This window comes from Homo sapiens, chromosome 8, assembly GCF_000001405.40.
Source record: "Homo sapiens chromosome 8, GRCh38.p14 Primary Assembly".
Taxonomy (NCBI): domain Eukaryota; kingdom Metazoa; phylum Chordata; class Mammalia; order Primates; family Hominidae; genus Homo; species Homo sapiens.
In genome coordinates this window covers 58,388,918-58,410,912 of record NC_000008.11, presented here as the reverse complement: position 1 = coordinate 58,410,912, position 21,995 = coordinate 58,388,918, and the positions used below count along the sequence as shown (strand labels likewise).

At 39.4% G+C, this 21,995-nt stretch overlaps 4 annotated features.

Annotated features, from left to right (window-relative positions):
• Window positions 13,546-14,045: an enhancer, noted in NCBI's record as "H3K4me1 hESC enhancer chr8:59309427-59309926 (GRCh37/hg19 assembly coordinates)". NCBI's record gives its function as "activates a minimal SCP1, AML or CMV promoter by ChIP-STARR-seq in primed H9 embryonic stem cells {active_cell/tissue: H9 hESC(primed)}" and the evidence as "EXISTENCE:reporter gene assay evidence [ECO:0000049][PMID:30033119]".
• Window positions 14,046-14,547: an enhancer, noted in NCBI's record as "H3K4me1 hESC enhancer chr8:59308925-59309426 (GRCh37/hg19 assembly coordinates)". NCBI's record gives its function as "activates a minimal SCP1, AML or CMV promoter by ChIP-STARR-seq in primed H9 embryonic stem cells {active_cell/tissue: H9 hESC(primed)}" and the evidence as "EXISTENCE:reporter gene assay evidence [ECO:0000049][PMID:30033119]".
• Window positions 18,381-18,881: an enhancer, noted in NCBI's record as "H3K27ac hESC enhancer chr8:59304591-59305091 (GRCh37/hg19 assembly coordinates)". NCBI's record gives its function as "activates a minimal SCP1, AML or CMV promoter by ChIP-STARR-seq in primed H9 embryonic stem cells {active_cell/tissue: H9 hESC(primed)}" and the evidence as "EXISTENCE:reporter gene assay evidence [ECO:0000049][PMID:30033119]".
• Window positions 18,882-19,382: an enhancer, noted in NCBI's record as "H3K27ac hESC enhancer chr8:59304090-59304590 (GRCh37/hg19 assembly coordinates)". NCBI's record gives its function as "activates a minimal SCP1, AML or CMV promoter by ChIP-STARR-seq in primed H9 embryonic stem cells {active_cell/tissue: H9 hESC(primed)}" and the evidence as "EXISTENCE:reporter gene assay evidence [ECO:0000049][PMID:30033119]".

Here is a 21,995-nt window from a genome sequence, read left to right as displayed (position 1 = left end):
GAACTCTGCCGGGCCTGTGGCTCACGCCTGTAGTCCCAGCACTTTGGGAGGCCGAGGCGGACGAGGTGATCGAGACCATCCTGGCCAACATGGTGAAACCCCTTCTCTACTAAAAAAAAAAATATATATATATATATATATATATATATATATACACACACATATATATATACACATATATACACACACATATATATATACACATATATATACATATATATACACATATATATATATATATATACACAAAAATTAGCTGGGCGTGGCGGAGCGTGCCTGTAGTCCGAGCTACTGGGGAGACTGAGGCAGGAGAATCGCTTGAATCAGGGAGTCGGAGGTTGCAGTGAGCCGAGATCGCGCCACTGCACTCCAGCCTGGCGACACAGGGAGGATCCGTCTCAAAAAAGAAAAAAAGCAGATCTCGAGACTATCAAGCCCTCGTCATTCAACTGAAATTGATTTAGACTCTGGTCTTCTTATCCTAGGCACTTTTTGTTTTTGAGACGGAGCCTCGCTCTGTCGCCCAAGCTGGAGTGCAGTGGCGCGACCTCGGCTCACTGCAGCCTCCACCTCCCGGGTTCAAGCAATTCTCCTGCCTCAGCCTCCCGAGTAGCTTGGACTACAGGTGCGTGCCGCCATGCCCGGCTAACTTTTGTATTTTTAGTAAAGACGGGGTTTCACCATGTTGGCCAGGATGGTCTTGATCTCCTGACCTCATGATCTGCCCACCTCGGCCTCCCAAAGTGCTGGGATTACAGGCGTGAGCCACTGCGCCTGGCCTCCTAGGCACTTTTATGCCCAAGGGATGCAAAGGTAAAAAGAAATAGTCCCAGTCATTATGAAACTCAGTCTAGTAGGGAAAAGAGACATGTAAACGGGTAAGATGCAGCTTGCAGTAGAGCTTTGCTTGGGAGGGTTACAAAGGAAATGTGAGCCATGTGAGGGGAAATACTCCGTTGGTATCTGCTGTGTGCACCATGCTAGGTGCTGGAGTCGACAGCTTGCCGCCCGAGCTTTGGCATACTGATCGTTTTGATGTATAAAGGCATTTGAGGCTGGGCGTCGTGGCTGACGCCTGTAATCCCAACTCTTTGGGAGGCCGAGGCAGACGGATCACTTGAGGTCAGGAGTTTCAGACCAGCCTGGCCAACGTGGTGAAATCCTGTCTCTACTAAAAATACAAAAATTAGCTGGGCGTGGTGGCGCGTGCCTGTAGTCCCAGCTACTTGGGAGGCTGAGACAGGTGAATTGCTTGAACCCGGGAAGCAGAGGTTGCAGTGAGCAGAGATGCACCATTGCACTTCAGCCTGGGTGTCACAGAGAGACTCCGTCTTAAAAACAAAAAACAAAAAACAAAAAAAAGCATTTGATAAACAGCAGGTGCAAGAAGAGCACTCTGACCTTTTCTTCCTGAAAGCAGGAAAAGAAACTACCATGTGATAGATGCCCTCCCTATACCAAGAGGAAAGATACTCATCACCAGAGAAGGGGAGTTGAGGCCGAGAAACATCTGTACAGATATTGTTAAACTAACCAGTATCTTCCTAGATACTCTTCCACGATTGCCTCTCTTTGTTCAACCTAGTATATAAGCACTTAGGCCTAGCCACTTCTTCGGGTGTTTATTTTCCTGTGAGGACACCCACTTATACGTAAAGTTTTATTAAATAAAATTTGTATGCTTTTTCCCTGTTAATCTGTTTTGTGTCCGTTTAATTCTTGGACCCAGCTGGAGACTCTGAGAGAGTAAAGGAGAAAATTTTCTCCCCCAGCTGTGCATTCCCTGTGTAATTTCATTTATCCCTCTACCAGGTAGTTATGATTATCTTGTTATACCCGAGGAAACCAGATGATGAAGACTAACTTCACCCTGTAGTAAATGGCAGTGCCAAATACTAAACTGCACTTGTTTTCCTGATACTCTCTTAACATCAGATTCTGCCCTAGAAATCTCGGGCTCTTTAACAAGAAATGCCTCATAGAGCCAAAGACATTTTAGCTGAGTGTTGAAGGAAAGTACTTCCAGTAGAAGTATTAGACCAGAAAGAATCTTGGTAAAGGCAAAGATATTTACAAAGACACTGATATTTAAAATATTATATTCATGTCAGCAAATTGCTATATGGTTGCAACTTAGAAATGACAAAAGATGGTTATGGAATGGTGGGGAGGAGACAGATGTAGAATGGAGGCTTGAGACAGATTCTGAAGGATCTTGCCTTAGGTTGGGGATGGAATCCTCTGAGCCAGTGATTCTCTAACATTCTTGTACATTAGAATCACCTCTTCTCTCTCGTCTCCAGGTACTCAGATTTATTAATAATTGGTATAGAGTGGGAGTCAGGCATCATATTTCTTAAGATGTTCGCAAAGTGGATTTTGCTGCTGGCCATGACAGTATACCTGATGTTGGACTTGTCCTCCCACTCTTAACAACTAAAAACAACAGTTTTAAGGCATTGAGCAACAGGCAGTACAGGTCTGTGATATCTGAAAGAAGGAAAACGAACAAGGTGACTATATTTGCCCAGGCTCTTTATTTTTATTTATTTATTTTTTGAGATAGGGTTTCTCTCTGTTGTCCAGGCTGGAGTACAGTGGTGCAATCACGCCTCACTGCAGCCTCAATCTGTCTAGTTAGAGCAATCCTCCCACCTCAGCCTCCCGAGTAGCTGTTGCCTTGGCTTTCTGCATGGAACTCTCATACACTGCTAGTGGGTCCTAGAATGGTACAGCCACTTTGGAAAAGAGGTTGTCAGTTTCTTCTAATGTTAAATATTCCATTATCATAAGAACCAGCAATTCTACTCTTAAATATTGACCCAAGAGGGATATAAGTATACATTTATAAAGTATTTCAACTCAAATGTTCATAGAAGCTTTATCTGTAATAGCCTGTAAACTGGAAACAATCCAAATGTCCATCAGCCAATGAATGGATACAATTTTGATAAATCATACAATGGAATACTACTCAATAGTAAAAAGGAAGAAGTTATGGATTCACATGTCTTGAATGAATCTCAAAGATATTATCTTGGGTAAAAAAAGCCAGGTGCGAAAGAGTAAATATTGTCTGATTTAATTTATATGAAATTTTAGAACAGGCAACACCTTTAATGACTAAAAGCTGGTGGTAGCTTGGGGCTGTCTTTTGGAGTAAGGATTCAGTTCCCCAATTGTAGGACATGTAGGAACTTTTTGAGGTGACAGAAGTGTTTTATAACTTGATTGTGGTGGTAGTTACACAGGTATGTATTAATACGTTTGTTAAAAGCACACTGTATACACTTAAAATGCATGCATTTTATTATATGTAAATTATTCATTTATAAACTTGATTGAACAAAATCCTTGCTCAGCTGATTCTGTTGTGCAGCTATGTTTGAGAGACACTGCTCTAAGGCAACTGGGAGCCATTAAAGGATTTGTGATTTACAAAGATTACAGATGCATCAATGTGTATGATGAGTCAAAGTTAGGAAATAGATTATTACAACAATGGGAAGTAATTAGGACTCAATTTTTATCAGTGGCAGTGAGAACAGAAAGAAGCAATACTTGGTAGAAATATTAACGTCAGAACCGACAGGAGCTGGAGTCTTCAATGTGGAATACATGAAAAAAAGAGGAATAAAAAATGACATCTGGGGATTTGGCTAGGTGATTTGGCAAATGGTGCTACCCGTAAATTATTGAGTTGAAAGGGGGAAACAAATTTCAAAGGAAATAAACAAGTTTGTTATGGACATTTTGAGTTCAAAATGTATGTGGAACACTCTGGTGAAAATGCATCATGGAGCAATTGCAAATGTGGGTATAAAGATTAGAAGATTAGGCAAGAATTTTGGTTTGGACATACAGATTTGGGTGTTGACTGCATGTAAATGATAGAGTAGACAAGGCTTCGCAGGAGCAGTGTGAAATGTGAGAAGATTCGAGGATTAAGAACACTCACAAACACCAACATTGAAGAACTCAGTGGAAAAAGGAAAGCTTTCAATGTAGCCCTGAGTAATAGAGAGGTGAGAGGAACACAAGAGACTGGAAAAACTGGTGATGAGGCAGTTTCAACAGGCATACCAATGATGTCATTTACTACAGATAATCAAGAAAGATTAAGACTAAAAAGTATCCACTGGACTAAAGGAACAGGAGATGCTGTCCCAAAAGTTACTACCAATTTCATAGTTAGTGAGGAAAATCCATATTTTACTAGTTTCAGAGTGACAGATAGGATAGTGAAGGCTACATATTCAATGAACTTAATGTCAATGGTGTGCAGAAGTTGCCGTGCACTGGCTTATGAGAGCCTACTGTTAAATTTTTAGGAATTTTGCAAGGCAGTTGTTAAACAGGGATTATTAAAAATTAAATGATATAAATGTACAACTAAATTATACAAAAAACTCATGCAATAAATATTCAAATCTCTAATTTCCTAGTTATTTGAATACATTTTGCTATTATCTATGCTCCTGAGGGGATTTACATCTATTGGATCTATATGGTGGAGATGCTATTGCACACCTCTTCCCAATTCGCATTCAGTGACAACATGTTAGTAGCTTGAAATCTACCATGGTGTAAGTATTCCCACCTCAGAAATTGGTAAACGCCATAAATAAAAGTTCGATTTCTTGTTTTGTTGATTGCCCACTGGAGATTTAAGGATCTGTTGGAGAAAATGTTTACGAGGCAGATAAGACTTAAAAGTATGCTGTGCCTGCAGCTGTTATGCTGTGAATAGCAAAAGAAAAAAAATGTAAATTTTCCTCTAGTATTTGAAAATTACTAGCTGATTCCGGAAGAAGTTGCTCACGTTGTTGAGTTACTATGGGTGTTTGTGTTTCACTTGCATCTTATGTGTATCTTGTTAATGTGAACAAAAATATCAACAAACATTCAAGTGGTCGCCTTGAAGTCTCCTTTCTTTTGGCTTGTGATGAAAGTGATATCTTTCCCCATTCTTCTTCAAAGAACTACGACCACATACCTCACTCTCCTTGATTCTCTATTTTCTGTTCTCAAAGTGGGTGAGGAGGTTCAAGAATCATGACATTCATCGTCTTTGAAACATTCTCCAGGAGCATCTTTCTCACACCCATTTTGACCTATCATATATATTATGGGGTCCTTAAACTGGAAACTTAATGTTAAACATTTTATTATACTTATTTTCTCCTTCCATTAGACTAAGCTCATGGAGTATGTGGGCCAGGACTTCATCTCTAGTGCCTTAACACAGAACCTGGAACCATAATATGTACTTTTAATAACTATTTGCATGAGTGAGTGAATGAAGGTGGTAGGGATCCTGTATTGGTCTGTTCTTGTGCTGCTATAAAGAAATATCCGAGACTGGATAATTTATAAAGAAAAGGGGCTAAATGGCTCATTGTTCTGCAGGCTATAGAGGTAGCAGAACAGCTTCTGCTTGGCTTCTAGAGGCCTCAGGAAAGTTATAATCATGGCAGAAGGCAAAGGGGAAGAGAAGCAGGTACATCTTACATGTCTGGAGCAGGAGGAAGTGTGGGGAGGTGCCACACACTTTTAAACAAACAGATCTTGTGAGAACTCTATCACAAGAACAGCACTGGGGGGATAGTGCTAAACCATTAGAAGCAGCCCCTGTTATCCAATCACCTCCCACCAGGGCCCACCTCTAGCACAGGAGATTACATTTCAACCTGAGATTTGGGTGGGGGCACAGATCCAAACCATATCAGATCCATAACTCAAACCACATTTGACTATCTCCAAAGCCCATTTTCCATTCATGGAAAGTCAAGAAATAAGAAGATCTATCAACAGATATCTTCATTAGATACAGACAGGACAGACAGTATAAAATGCAGGCCTATTTATATTGCACTTCTAAACCAAATCCAGCTCCAACTTCACAACCTAAATGAAACTCACGTTTGTGTAATTTTACATATGCTGGACATCACTGAGAACAAGATCAGAGGTCACTGTAATATATAATGGCCTTGTTCCATCCTTTAAAACATTTTTATCTCATTCTAAAAATAGAAATAGAATATTTACAGTTGGTAATTTTCATGGATTGCACATTATTTCATGTAATCTACAACAACTTTCTGGGATAGGTATTGTCTCCATCTTACAGAAGTAGTTGAGGATCAGAGAAATAAGATGAATTTCCTTATGTCACTCAGCTATTAAGTAGCAGAACTAAATTTTAAATTCAGGTCCATTACACTCAAAAGCATATGTTTTTTTTTTTGTTTGTGTTTTTGGTTAAAAAATACCATCTCCGTGTCTCCTGGGAGCTTTTTGCAGCCTCTGACTCTTGTGATTTTACCTTTCCTGAAATTTCCTCATGATACTGCTTAACATTGGTCTTCTTACCTACCTGACCATTCCTTTTGAGCTTCTCCTAACATTTTATCTTCTATCCACCCTCTAAATAATGATGTTCTTTAGGGCTCTGCCTTTGCCACTCTTATTTGCTCACTGTGTATATGCTTTCGCTGTTCAATATCTTCTGTTCTCATACCTACTATTTACACACAGTCAATTCTCATTATTTACAGTAGTTATGTTCCTTAAAGCCATTGAGAACACTGAGTTATTGAATACTGAATCATTGCTGCTAGGGAAAATACAGGGTAGGTTCCTGTGAACTTCTTACATTTTCATCAACTGATCAATGCATAACCTTGTTTTATGTCTATTTCTGTTGAAGACCCCATGTTTAATATGATCATTGATCCACTCACATTGAACTCACAGCCACCAGCACTATAACTCCTGCATGAAGGAAGTTTATCTAGCACATGCATTTTCTCCATAAGGACATCACAGCCTCTTGTACTTAGGAACACCAGACAGTACTTCAGCACTACCCTTGGGGGCCATCTCAAACAGCAAAATCACCAACAAAAAGCACAAACATGTGAAAAACATGGCACTAAATAGAATGTGCAAGGACACTTATTTAAAGTATAAAAGCTGAAATAAAAAGGCAGAATGTCACCTTGTTTGAGCTCAGCTGGGAATGTGCTCATGGGGCAACAGAAATATTTTGCTCCTTTGTGTCTGGGTTTGATCACAAAGCACTGCATGTATTTGGTTTGGGGGTCACAAATACATTTTGTGAGTAGGTGAATATGCAAATATGGAATCTGCGAATAACTAGAATGGACTGTATCTAAGACTCCCAAATCTCTTTTTCCAATACCCAGGTCCCTCTCTTACCCCACATCTACATTTCCAATTGTCTTTTCAACTGATATTTTCATTTGGATGTCTCAAAAACATTTGTGTCTCCAACTAATCCTCTGTTTTTGTCGTACAAACCCACTTCTTTTTCATTCTATCATTTATTAGATCAGCATCTAGCTTCAGCTAGAAATCAGGGTCATTTTAAATTCCTCTTTTGCCTTTAACCTTACAGTTTGTTGTTTACCAAATCTTCAATTTTTCCTCCAAAATATCTCTTCGATCTGTATTCTCCTCTTCACTCTTGCTTCCACTGGCACAGTTCACGATCTTCAGACTTCTGCCTTGGTTGTCACCCTGCCTCCCAGCTGGGGCCTCTGCTTTCATTCTGCCCTCTGTATCGCTCTCAGAACTATTTTTTAAAAGCACAAAGACTATCATGTTGCTGTTCTGACCATAACCCCACCAACTGGAGGAGAATAAAAGCCAAATCCTTGTTATGGAACATAAAGCTTTTCTTAGTCTGTACACTTTTTGTTTTACCACCTTTACCTCATTCCCTTCCCATGTGCTTTAGCTGTTCTAAGCCACTGATGGATTTGCAAATATGCCATGTCATTTTGCACTTCATTACCATTTCCTTTGCATGGAACTTTCTCGTCCTCTTTATACCCAGTAAGCATGTATTCATCTTTCATGATCATGAATTCTAATGTGATATTTTGTCAAATCTTTACCACCTTCCTGAGGCAACTTCCCTATGTAACTACAGAACTTCGCACAGTTTTTGTGAGACATTTTTTCAGTGTACGTTTTGTTGTCTGGTGTCTGTACACTGTGAAGTTCTCAGAGAGCAAGGATTATGTTTAATTCTCTCATATCTCCAATGGTTGGCTTATAATAGAGGCTTGATAATATGTTCTGAATAAATAACACACATACAAATGCAATTAGTTGGGTGTGCTTATTTTCAATGTTTACTATATTTAAGTTTACATTTTAAACATAAATTTCTTTTTTTTCTCAAATCCATTTGGTTATCTATTTCCAACTTCAAGATGCACAGGATATAGGTTGTTATTAATAGGCCTAAATTCTGGTGAAATTTACCAGCAGCATGTTCACTAATTGTGATGCCTAAGCAGGAATGGGCTCCTTCTGGTTAAATGAAATTATTCCTCTCAAGTCTCCTGGGCAGAAAGAGTATGTAGGGCACTTATACTTGAGTCAGAAGGACAGGCTGTACTATTTGATTAGACGTTTACTGTGTGAAATTTCATTTAAGTATGAAAACTTCTAAATTTTAGCTGCAACAATCTTTATTAATCACCTACCTAAATAAATGTGTTTTGTGTGCTGTGCTGTGGGGAGATTCAAAATTAAATAATCTAGCATTTGTTCTCACACTCCTAATTTCAATGTATAAAAATAATGCTTGTAAAAATCTAAAGTTAAATTTGGTACTATTAAGAAAAGGATTATAGATATGAAAAGGGAGAAATTAATTCTGATTGAGAATTAGGGTAGCAGAGAGGGAGGCATCTGAACTGACCATTAAAGGATTGGGAGATTTCAATAGACAAAGATGACATAAGGGCCTTCTAGGCACAGGGGACAACAGCAAAGTTCCAAAGGGGAGAATGTGTGGAGCATGTTTGGGGAATGGTAAAAAGATTCGGCTTCAGTGGAGGATCTATGCAGTGGAAAACGGCCTTGGAATGATCAAGACGGGTCATAAATGCAATGCTAAGGAGTTTGGTCTTTATTTCTAGACATTATTGTGAAAAATATTTTTGATGCAAGGAAAATATTATCTGCTTATTTTAGCAATTGCACTTGGTATGTCAGATGGAGTAGGGGAGTAAGTGACTGAAAGTCAGTGGATGCCAGTGGAACATTCTGAGGTAACTTCTGGGTAAAAGCTATGAGGCCATGAACAAGATCAGTGATAGTGAGAATGGAGGGGGACACATGGATTCGGGGCTTCAGTTGAACTGTGCCAGATTTACTCCTGAATTATTATGCAGGAAAATATTTTCTATCTTTGGGTCTGTGAATATTCTCTTTAAATCTCAAATTGTATCTCTTGTTTTTATAGTTAAGCCTGTCTGCATTATTATCCACCCCTGACTCAAATGCTTTTCTTTTTTTTTTTTTTTTTTTTTTGAGAAGGAGTCTCGTTCTGTCGCCCAGGCGGGAGTGCTGTGGCGCGATCTCCGCTCACTGCAAGCTCCGCCTTCCGGGTTCACGCCATTCTCCTGCCTCAGCCTCCCGAGTAGCTGGGACTACAGGTGCCCGCCACTGCGCCCGGCTAATTTTTTGTATTTTTAGTAGAGACGGGGTTTCAACGTGGTCTCGATCTCCTGACCTCGTGATCCGCCCGCCTGGGCCTCCCAAAGTGCTGGGATTACAGGCGTGAGCCACCGCGCCCGGCCGACTCAAATGCTTTTCTAGGTTAGTAATGAAACCTCTACATTCTGTTTCCTTGTATCAGAATTTAATCCACTGAAATTATTTTATCCCCATAAATTGCCTATTAATCATCATATTATTCTCTTCTATTTATAATTTAAGCTTTATTATTAAGCTCCTTATAGGCTGGGAGATACTTAAGATAGCACTCTGGCCAGTCACCTATAGGTTGGCAACAGGGAAATTGAGATGGTCTTTGTTGTTTATGGGTGAATGAGTAACTTTTGTAAACACAACCTCCAACAATAGTTCCTATAGTAATTTTGTTTTATTGCTTATACTCAAATGAGCAAAAATGGTTTGTGACCTCATAGTAGATGCTTTTAAGCCAAACTGAATTAGTTAAAACATATTTTTATAAGTTTTACATTAAAAAAATTGTAAGTAGCACATAGGAAATCTTAAAATTATTAGAATATGAGATTACCTCTGCAACAATATTGGATTCAGCTTTAGGATATTAGAAAGTGTTATTTTCATAAGATGGGTACAATATCCTCTTATGACTTTATGTTATCTGTAAGAACAATAATGATATATCCCTTTTTCATTCTCAATTTTGGTTAATTCTGTCTTCTTTCTTTTTCCCTTTATTAGCTTTGCCAGAATTATATAAATATTATTTCTTTTTAAGGAATCAACTTTTGACTTTGTTTATTCTCTCCATTTTTTTGTTTACTTTTTGTTTCATTAATTTTTGCTTTTTTCTTTCTTCTATGTTCTTTGCATTTAATTTAGTATTTTCTAACTTCTTAAGAAAGATGCTTAACTTACTGACTTTTCAGCCGTTCTACATTTCTCCTATATGCATTTAAGGCTGTAAGTTTCCCTCTAAGAATGGTTCTGCTTCAAATCTTATGTGAAAGAGAAATACAGTTGTATTTCATTTCAGCCATCAAAGATATTTTTATCTAGTTAAATACAGCCAAATTACATCATAAAAAATGTAGGGACTCAGTTTCATATGTGAGCAAAAGTTAAAGTGGAGACAAAGCAACAGCTGTAGTATGTAGAGTAGAAAAACAATTTCAGTAGAGCCTGGAACCCATGCCAAGTGACACCCTGAGAACATAACTCACGTTTCTGTCTCCACATCCCACCCAGGCAGTTCACAAACTCTAGAAAAGAACATTTGACTTTCCAAAGGAGTTTAGGACATTTATAGCCACTCATATCAGGATCTTAAGCACTCAAGTAACCCTGCATGGCATTTGGGTATATTTTGCCTTAGCTTTGCTAGGATGAGTGTTGGGTTTTTCATATCCATTCATAATTTTATCCTGAACCCATACATGGAGTGTTCTGGTTCAGAGGCAGAATAGTTATTATTTCTTATATTATGATAATTGTGTCAGCCCCCACCCCTGCACACACCAGTGCTTACTCCTGAGGTGTCCGATGGCCCAAGATGCTCCATAGGTGAAGGATGGGGAAAATGGATTTTCTTCACTTATGAACGGGACCTCCTGGTTCCATCTTGAAAGGAGGGAGAGAAACGTTTGTTCCCTGGAGAGGAGATGGAAGGGTTCTGGGCTCTCACTTTAACCTTTTGGACTAGAAAGGCATCTCTCAAGGGCCTCAGGAGCCCTGGTGTCTCTGTCATGACCTAGAGATGTCTCCAGGGTCTTGAGTCTCACTTTCTCTTGAAATGTAAATACATTCCATGAGAATCTCTGGAGTCCTGTCACTATAGAGTTATAAAATAACTTCTCAAGACTTACTGTTAGCTCAGTAATATGGTTTGGCTGTGTTCCCACCCAAATTTCACCTTGAATTGTAGTCCCCATAATCCCCACGTGTCATGGGAATAACCTAGTGAGAGGTAATTTAATCACAGGGTGGTTACCCTCATGCTGCTCATGCTGTTCTCATGACAGTGAGTGAGTTCTCATGAGATCTGATGGTTTTATAAGGGGCTTCCCTCTTCACTCAGCACTCATTCTTCTCCTTCCTGCCACCATGTGAAGGAGAACGTGTTTCCTTCCCTGTCTGCCATTATTTTAAGTTTCCTAAGGCCTCCCCAGTGCTGCAGAACTGAGTCAATTAAAGCTCTTTTCTTTATAAATTATTCCGTCTCGGGCAGTTCTTTATAGCAGCATGAGAATGGATTAATATGCTCGGGATCCAAATTTTTCAGGAAAATTTATTCAGAAAGCCTCAACTCTGCAGAAATACAAAAATATTTTCTCAAAACTCCACAAAGACTTTATGCCAAAGCAAATGCCATCATCTTCTTTTACTTGCACCTCACCTCCTACGTATTCAAAAATGTCAGAAGAGTGCATATGTAAGTTCTAGGTTTATGTTTATTACATACACTTTAGGATTAATGCAAAGACTGCTATTTTTCTGTCATTTGATTTGCTTCCCTTTCTACTCCTAATGTGTAGAATTATCTTTTAAAAAGTATCTCCAAAAACACGATTAGACATTTACATATTCTTGAATCTGAAATTTCATCATTAACATAAAGGAATACGAAAGTAAAACCACTTCCATTAGAAATTTGACTGGGGGAAATTTGGGGGGTTGGGTGGTTCAAGACCAGTGCACCAAAGTCATGGATAATGTCAGAGTCCACTAAGGTATGTAGGTCTGTGGGCTTCTGATAAATAACCTGATTGATACAATTTCTTTCCCTTCTGTTATAGTTTATATATATTCATTTTGGCTATCAGCTGTTTCCTTTAAAGATATGTAGTAGATCTACCTACAGAAGTAAGGGCCTTTTAATTTACTGAATATTGCATGTTAGATAATCTAGGTTTGCATGACCATGTGAAGATAAGACACCCTTTGAGGAGTGATATAGGAGTTCTCTATGTACAATGAGCATGTGTGTATGTATCAGTAAGGAAAGCATACTATGTTAACAAATAATCCATGAATCTCAGTGTCTTATAAGCAACAGGGATGCTGATACATTGATGGAAGGCTCTGTCCCATGTTGTCTTCACTCAGAGATGGAGACTGATACCACTTACACCCTCCGGGAACAATATCTGACATCACACAGGGGGGTGAAATTTGGCAAATTATGCTCAGGGCTTGACGTTTTTGACTGGAAGGGACACATTACTTCCATTCTTATTTCTTTGACCAAAGCAAAGAAATAAGTACCTAACAATCACAGAATTAGGGAAGTGCAACCCTCCCATGTGCTTGAGAAGAGTAGAATGGGAAATGCCAGTTAGTAGCACCAACAATGATTTCAGTGTCATCCACACATTCAGAGCAGGGGAGTGTTAAAAGTTTTTCCTGCAGTGGTCCTGAAGCACTGGTCCTGGGACTTCATCTTACTCTGGAGTTGTAACAAGGATACTACATGGCCGACCAGAAAATGCACCTAAGAAAAAAGTACAGATGCTCCGGGACTTACAACAGGGCTACGTTCCTATAAACCCATCATCAGCTGAAAATATTTTCAGTCAAATATGCATTTAATGCCCTTAGCCTGCTGAACATCACAGCTTAGACCAGCCTACCTGAAATGTGCTCAGAACAGTTATATTAGCCTGCAGTTGGGCAAAATTATCTAACACAAAGCCTATCTTACAATAAATTGTTGGATATCTCATGGAATTTATTGAATGCTGTACTGAAAGTGAAAAACAGAATGGTTGTATGAGTAGCATTATGAAGTTGTGAAGTTGTAAGTGAAACACAGTAAGTTGGGGACAGTCCGTACTTACAAAATTGAGGGTAGTAATCCCTAAAAGATTCCCAGAAAACTGTTCTTTTCACCTCTGACACCACTAATGTCTTCCTTTTGTCATAGCAGTAAAAGGAGTTAGAATTGTTCTCAGTTCCGAGCTTCAGAATTATGCAAACATCACATCAGTCTTACACATGGACTTTGCAATATCTATTTTGGCTGTTCAGAGACATTTTTCTTCCCTTTTTGCTTACTTCCCCGTTCTCAGTTGTGCAATATGTTACTGTCTTTGTCTGTGTTAGTGAAGTGTTCAGACATAGAAAAATGACCAGATAGAGCAGGGATAAAAACAAAGAAAGAGCAACAGACACCAGAACGGCAGCATTTCTATTCATCACTATCTAAGTATAGAGCCACTGAGGGAATTTAAAAGCCCTGTGGAAACTAGCCAGGCAGAGGGCAATGGACGACTAGATTCCAATATGACAGGATGGTACAGAACAGGAGAGCTCAGACAGGCTGATTTTAGAAGATGAGCAAGGCCAGGCGCAGACCTGAGACCCGGCCGCTGCCCAGAGGCTTATTGCTGCTCCTCTTGACTGATCTCTACCATCTCCTCCAGTCCCGCACAGCCGACCTACTGCAGGACCTCCCATTGGTGTGCCTGGAGTCGGCCGCGGTTGTGCTGACGTGTTGACGCCTCTCAGCGCTTAAGACGCAGTCCAAGGACAGGGTGGCCAGACGCTGTGAACATTACTTCTGTCAGCGAGCTGGACACATGTCATTTCCTGTGGTTACCTTCTTGTGAAAAAGATTGCTTAACACTGACCTATGGCATTGCTTTTGCCTTTTCTCAACGACTTCCATAGTGCAGATCCAGAGATATTTAAGCTTTCTGGATTCTGAAATCCCTTTGATGAAGGACCATGGTGCTTTGTATGGTAACACTGGTCTCCTGTATTCACCTGTCCTTTCAGCCTTTCGATCTGTGTTTCAGCTAACCCTCTTCAGCCCCTGGCTAAGTCAGCCGCCACAGCAAAGTACCACACACTGGGTGGCTTTAACAGCTGCAAGATTTACTCAGGGTTCTGGAGGCTGGAAGTCCCAGATTAGGATGCCAGCCAGCATGGTTGCGTTGGGTGAGGGTCCTTTTCCTGGCTTGCTGATGGCTGCCTTTTTGCTGTGCCCTTACATGGTGGAGAGGAAGAGAGAGATAGAGAGATAGAGATAGAGATAGAGAGAGACAGAAACAGAGAGAGAGAGGTGGTGCCTCTTCTTATAAGGGCATTAATCCCATCATGAGGACCCTACCCTCACAACATAATTACCTCCCAAAGGCCCCGCTTCCCAATACCATCACCTTTGGGATTAGGGATTCATATGTTGAACTTACACTTATAGGGACAACACAGGTCAGAACATTGAAACCCCTCAAATTACACAAGACATAGAATTAAGCCTCTGCCATTTTCCATGGTAGGACCTACATATATCTGCTGAAGATTTGTAGGATGCCAGGAACTCCTCAACATGTTAGACTGCACAAAGCATTTCACTAGAATATTCTCTCTTCAACATATATTTTCTCTGTGGTTCCTACTGTTCTGTGCTATACTGTCCCAGGGTGAGGTTGAAATTTCTTGCTCCCCAACTCTCAAATCTAAATTCCCCATCCTTTATCAACCAGAAGTAACATTGTATTTATTTATTTTTAACTTTTATTTTAAGTTCAGGGGCACATGTGCAGGATGTGCAGGTTTGTTACAGCGGTAAACATGTGTCATAGTGGTTTGTTGTACAGATTATTTCAGTACCCAGGTATTAAGCCTAGTATCCGTTAGTTATTTTCCTGATCCTCTCCCTCCTTCCACCTCCACCCTGTGACAGGCCCCAGTGTGTGTTGTTTCCCTGTACATGTCCATGTAGAACAATCTTTTTAAAAAACAACTATTATAAACGAGCCATTTCCTGCAGCTTTATCAAGTCATTTTTTTCTTCACAGATTCTCTGAGAATTCTGGTGAATACAATCAGCTCAGTGTCATTGAACACATGCATTTTTGACCAGGCAGGGATGTTTTGAAATTACTTCCTGATTGTTCTTGGCTTTGCGAGATGTTTCTTGGCCTATGAAATGCTCCCGCATTTAAAAAAGAGAAAAAAAAGAAAAAGAAAGAAGGAAATTTGCAACGTGGCAAATTTCCACCAGAGGGAGCACCAGCCCACAGACTTCCAGTGTAATTTGACCTGGGAATTCAGTCCCAGCCCCAGGTTCCTTTAATCTTTATTGGGCACTAGAAGATGAAATCCTCAGAAATACAGTATTATCTAAAATATACATTAATAGAGGATTGACTATATGACTGTGCCTGCTATTATGTAGAAATGTAAAGTTGAATTTGGCAGAGAGAGAGAGAGAGAGACTGCTGATGTGAAATTTCAGCCGCCGTTTTCATTCATTTTCTAACAGCCTAGGAAAGAACAATTAAAAGCAATCTTTAAAACACCTAGCATAATTGGATGTTGATTTTATTAAGTGATTTCACGGAAAATTGTAGGCAGATGATTCTTTACATGTTCATCTCTTTGTAGAAACCCTGGAGGTGTAATGAACCTCTGACTTTTTGCTTCTCCATTTTCCCAAGGCCTCCTCAATTTACACCCTTCACTCCTCTTCCTCAGCCCCAAGACAAACACAGCCACTCACTGTCCTCAGAAGTAAGGACCAGCCAGAGGCAGGGCAGTGAATAGGAACAACAAGAATGCAACAAATTAAATTGTACCCCGAGTCCCTACTATTACACCAGGTCTCCCCTGCCTAGAGAAGTGAGCCTTACAGCTGAATGCACATTTCATAGAAACCAAGAGGTTACTCTTCATTGCCGAAGTGAAGCATTAGTCTTGTAAAATTAAAAAAAAAAAAAACAGGCCATCTTTGAGTGAATAATGAGATACTTGCCTTAATTTGATTCTTAATTATAATGACATATCTGGCCTTTGAAATTGGATGAGACTTGCTTGGGCCTGCTGCATTTGACTCTGACTTTAGCTGAGAAAAGACTAGGTCCAAGGTTAAACAGCCTCAACATTATTCCTGTCTATATTTCTTTGATTTTGATAGTACAGGAAAAAAGGAAGAAACTTTTTCTGATTCCTTCTTTTAAGTTTTTGTCTTTCATTTTTTCCAGGTAATATGAATTAATTTGATATCAATTAGGTTTCAGGCTCCCATTGTTCACTAGCTATCAGCAGAGGCATCAGTGAGTGCCTTCATACAAAGCATAATGAAATAAACACAGGGGTCTCCCTATGGGGTAACAGCCTTAGGCGGACAAATAATTAACTAAATATGGCCAGTGGTAAGTGGATGTATTATGAAGTGGCAGTCACAGCTATTTCCGTTTGTTGTCGGCCCAGTCACAAGTCCTAGATTTTCAAAGAGCATCACTGGTTACTATGAGTATCACCAAGTGAGATCAGGAGGTAGTAAGTAATTCATGCAAAAAAAAATATTCTAAGGGTTCTTTACTTTAAGGATACTTAAATACTAAAGTTCATACAAACAAAAGAGATGAATAAGGAAATAATTATGTATCATTTCAGGAGGATCTTTTACTTTTCAAAAGGATATTTTCTATGGGCCTTATAAATTAAAAACATTATATAGCGTGTTTATATATAATATAAACATTTATAAAGCTTGATTTGTGCATGTTTTAAGAAATATAAGTGCTGTTAAAGAAGTAATACTGTGTACATATTTTTATATTATAGACATTATATTCCTTTTGAATCACTACCCCTAGCCCAGTCCCAAGCACACATAAATAGACATCATGGATATTTGGTTGATTAAGAGATGCTAAGCTCCAGCCCCTGAAGTACAGGAAGACCTCGAGGGTACATATCTACTTATTTCCTAAGACTATTTGGATCCTTGAGCAAATGTGCTTTGGCTTCATTTTCTTTAGGAGAGATTAATTTTATGTACAGATAGAATAGGATGGCTACTTTGTCATTCATAGAGTGGCTACTGTGTCATTCAAAGAATGCTAGGTCTTATTATCTGTATTCTCCCAAACTTCAGCCTCTGCTGATCAGCTGTGCTTCCTAAAATTCCTCTAGTTGAATCACTGGGCCATAGACTTTTAGAATTGAAAGAAAATTCAGCAATCATAGTGCACTTCTTTTATGTAACAGCTGAGGAAACAACAGACAGATTAGGCATGCACCAGATAGCACAGTGATAGAGCTCAGTTTTGGGGTGCCTCCTAGTTCATAAACCATCTCCCCTTTCCAAGGATCGCATCCCACCAGGAGATAGGTCATGGCAGCCATGCATAGGACCCTGCCTCCTGAATACAGATCAATGAGTTGCTGGTTGTCACCCAAGCTTGGCCAGTCTGGTTCTCTCTCCCGGAATATGGAGTTAGGATTCAGATGCGTCAGGTAGACAATGTCTCAGAAGCTGGAACTGGAACATGCAAGCCATGAGGCAGACATTTTCTGCCATGGAGACGTGGAGTCCTGAAGGACTGCTGGACAGAGAGAGATAAAGGGAGCAGACCTCCAGGGAGAAGCAGAGGTGAAGTGACAGCACCTTCTGCTTTCTGACATCTTTCCCCTTGCGAGTTCCAGTTCCTGCCTGTCCTGTAAGCACACGCTAACTTCCCCCTTTGTGGCAGGCACATGTGCATGCATCGTGCCATCAGATTCTCACAGCATCATTGTAAAATAAGTAGCATCATCCTCACGACGTCCACACTTGGAAACGTGCTCAGAGCAGGTGGAGTGTTGGCCAAGATTGGCCGCCTAGTTGTGTGAAAGAGACAGACTGGCCAAAACTCCTTGCCATTTTCTCCACACCGTAAACTGCTAGTACAGAACATCCTCTAGCTTAGCTTCTCTGCTCTGGCAGGGCCAGCAGCCCAAGGGCTCCAGGAGGCAGGGGAGAGCAGAGATGGTGTGGGACATCCAGGGAAGTCAGGGACTAGGGACATGAGAATACGGAAGAAAGAGACATTTTTCCCCCTTGAAAATGTTCTCCTGTTTGACATATCTTTCTAATTTTTTATATTACATATAAACTAGTTTTTTTAAAGCTATGAAATACATGGTGATGGTTAAAATTATTCAATCACGGTGATGGTTAAAATTATTCAATCAGTGTAAGACTGAATAAAGTAAAAATAGAATCCTCTCTTTCTCTGTGCATGACAAGCCAAGCCCGCATGCCCTTAAGTAACTACTGAGTGTCACAGAAGAGTCACAGGGCCCCACAGTTCCCTGCTTCCTCAGCGCAGGGGGCAACTGAGGCTCCCAAGTTGTAGCCTCCAGGCTGGGGCGTTTTGGAGGATATCTGACCAGGGCAGGGCCTGGTGCAAGCCCAGAGAAGATGGGGAGGAGTAGGAGGGCAGTGTGGCTGAGAGCTCTGTGGTCCTGGCACCGGCTTCTGCAGACAGGCCTCCAACTCCCTGGTGGGCCTGGGCCCATGGAGCTTTCAGAGGCCCAAAGCTCCAGATTCAAATACCTGGGAAGCCTCAGGGGAAGAAGAGGACAAGGCTGTTGGCCTCCAATTTTTGTCTCCATGTGTATTAATGTTTCAGGGCTGCCATGACAAATTACTGCAAACTGGGAAACTTATTGACATGCTTCTGGAGGCCAGAAGTCTAAAGCTGAGGTGTGGGCAGGGTTGGTCCCCTCTGACATCCCTGAGTGTGAGTCATTCAATGGCTCTCTCTGAGCTTCAGGTGTCACCGGCCATCCTTGGCACCTCTTCCCCGGTAGACACTTCACTGCAGTCCCTGCCTGTGTTCACATTGCCTTCTTTGTGTCCCTGTGGTTTCTCCTTTTCTGACTCTGTAAGGACAGTCATGGGATTCAGGAGCCACCCTAATCCAAGATGATCTCATCTCACACTTTACCTTATTACATCAGTAAAGATCCATATTACAAATAAAGTCATGTTCTGAGGTTCCAGGTGGACCTGAATTTGGGAATGGGGACGCTATTTAACCCAGTACACTGTATCATAAACATCCTGTCTATTTGGGGATGATGCGGCCTTTTAGGGGCATCCAGACTACTTTGAGGATGACTGCTCTAAAAAGGCAAATTCCTTTTAGAAAATTAGAGATGTGTTAGATTGTGAAACCCTTGGTATGAAAATGTTTATGTTGGAAATCTATTCACATCATTTAATAAATTTTAACATTACGTTTATCAATGCAAGAAAAGGAAAAGACATTCAATTAAAAAATAGACTTTCAGCTATATTACAATTTTTGCACAGTTGTAAGGTAATTAAAGTTTTAAATTATATAAAAGTGCAAATAAAGTTTTGCATCAATGGAGGCCGTGAAGAATTAGACTAAATCCTTTGTAAGAACATTTTTATTTATTTTTAAGTTTAATGGATACTTGATAGATGTACATATTTATGGGGTACCTGTGATGTTTCAATACAACAAGCATACAATGTTTAGTGATCAAATCAGGTAATTGGGACATCCATTACCTTAAACATTTATAATTTCTTTGTGTTAGGAACATCCCAATTAACTCTTCTAGTTATATTGAAACATACAATAAATCATTGCTGATAGTACTCATCCTATTGTGCTACTGAACTCTAGATCTCATTCCTTCTATCGAAGTACGTTTTTGTACCCATTAGCAATCCCTTCCTTATCCCTTTCTCCCTGCTGCTCTTCCCAGCCTCTGGTGGCCACCATTCTACTCTCTACCTCTATTCGATCAACTTTTTCAACTCTGACATATGTGTGAGAACGTTTGATATTTATCTTTTTGTGCCTAGCTTCAATTAAACCATTTTGGAAGAGTTTTGACCAGAAATTGCATGTAGCCATTTACAGAATAAAATCGCCCACTAAAAAATTATGTTGGAGATAACAAACTTAGAAATACATCAATATTTAAAAACAACTTTTCAGAAGTTTAAATCAGTATTTAGTATCTTCCCAAATACTATGTGGTTTTAATCATAATTTTGTAATATAAAGAAAACATTATGATTTTTTAAAATACCAAGCTTCATATAGATACTTTTACATCCCCTCTAGTTTTCCTCCAGAGTTTGGGACCATTATTTTGCTATGTGAGTCATAACCTGAACAAGGTGTAATGCATTATGTTAGGGACTTTTCTGTGCATAAACAAATGTGCATATTTGTTTGTGTATATACATACACACATAGACAGTCCCTAACTTACCATGGTTTGGCTTAACAAGTTTTGGAATTTACAATGGTGCAAAAGCCATAGGCATTCAGTAGAAACTGTACTTTGATTTTAAACTTTGATGTTTTCCTGGGCTAGTGATATATGGTACATGCTGAGCAGCAGTAGCAAGCCACAGCTCCCAGTCAGCCATGCTATCATAAGAGTGAAGGACTGGCGCTCTGCCGTGTGCAGTGTTGCCAGCTGATTTTGCCCAACTTTTGGCAAATATAAGCTGAACACATTTAGGGTAGGACAGGCTAAACTACGGTGTCATAAATGCATTTTTACTTAATGATATTTTCAACTTAACAATGGGTTTATCAGGATGTAACCTCATCTTAAGCCAAAGAGCATCTGTATGTGCAGACATTTATTATATTTATTTATAAAATGAAATCCATAAAGTCATATATTAATATATTTTGTATTTATTATATTATAAATATTTATAAAGTTCCATATTTTTACACATGTGAAATGACAGTATACATATAAAGCAAAGGCTGGCTCCTTCCTTTAAATAACTTTAATTATTTTTTTAGTATGCACAGTACTATGTTATTTTAAAAAACGGCAGCATAGTATTTTATATAGTATTCTATATTGATATCTTATAATTTGTCAGTCTTATATTAATAATATGCAGGTTGTTTCCAGATTTGTCTCTGCTATTACCAATAATGCTGCAATAAATATTTGTGCAAAAGTATCTGTAGACTGGATTCCAACAGTGGAATTGCCATGCCAAAGGCTGCGTGATTTAAAATTTGTTAGAGACTATCAAATTACTAGCAAACTTTAGCACTAATTTACTCTCTCACTTACAGTTTATGAGGGAGCCTCTTTTCCCACACTATTGCCAACAGTCTTAAGTTGTCTATCAGAAAGTTGAAAAATGCTACCTTCTTTCTTTCTTTAATTATGGGTCAGAAAATAAAGAGATATTATGAGAAACATAAACTCGCTTGCACTAAATAATTCAATCAATCATCATCTATAGGAGAAAACATAAGAACTTAATCGAAATTTATTTCTTAATTATTCTAAGATAAAATGAGGCAGTAAAAGAATAATGGGAAAGCTATCAATATAATAATATTTATGGGAAAACCAACTTTGCTTTTACTTCAAAAATGTTTTAACCATTATTAAAATGGATTTTGACAGTCAATATGGCACGTTGTAAGGGCAAGTTAAGGCACAAAGATCATGTGACTGAGAACCAGGGAACCTGGTTTAGAGTCTTACATATAATTAGTCATCTATGATAGTCTTATATACAATTAGTGGTATGATTTTGAGCAAATCATTGAACCCTATTTAGCCCTTCTGTGTCTATTATCTCAGGTGTGTAAGGTAAGGGGTTAGGGCCTCAATACCTTAAAAAATTGTACAAATGAAAGAATTTCTAAGTTCAATCGATATTGCTATTGATGATT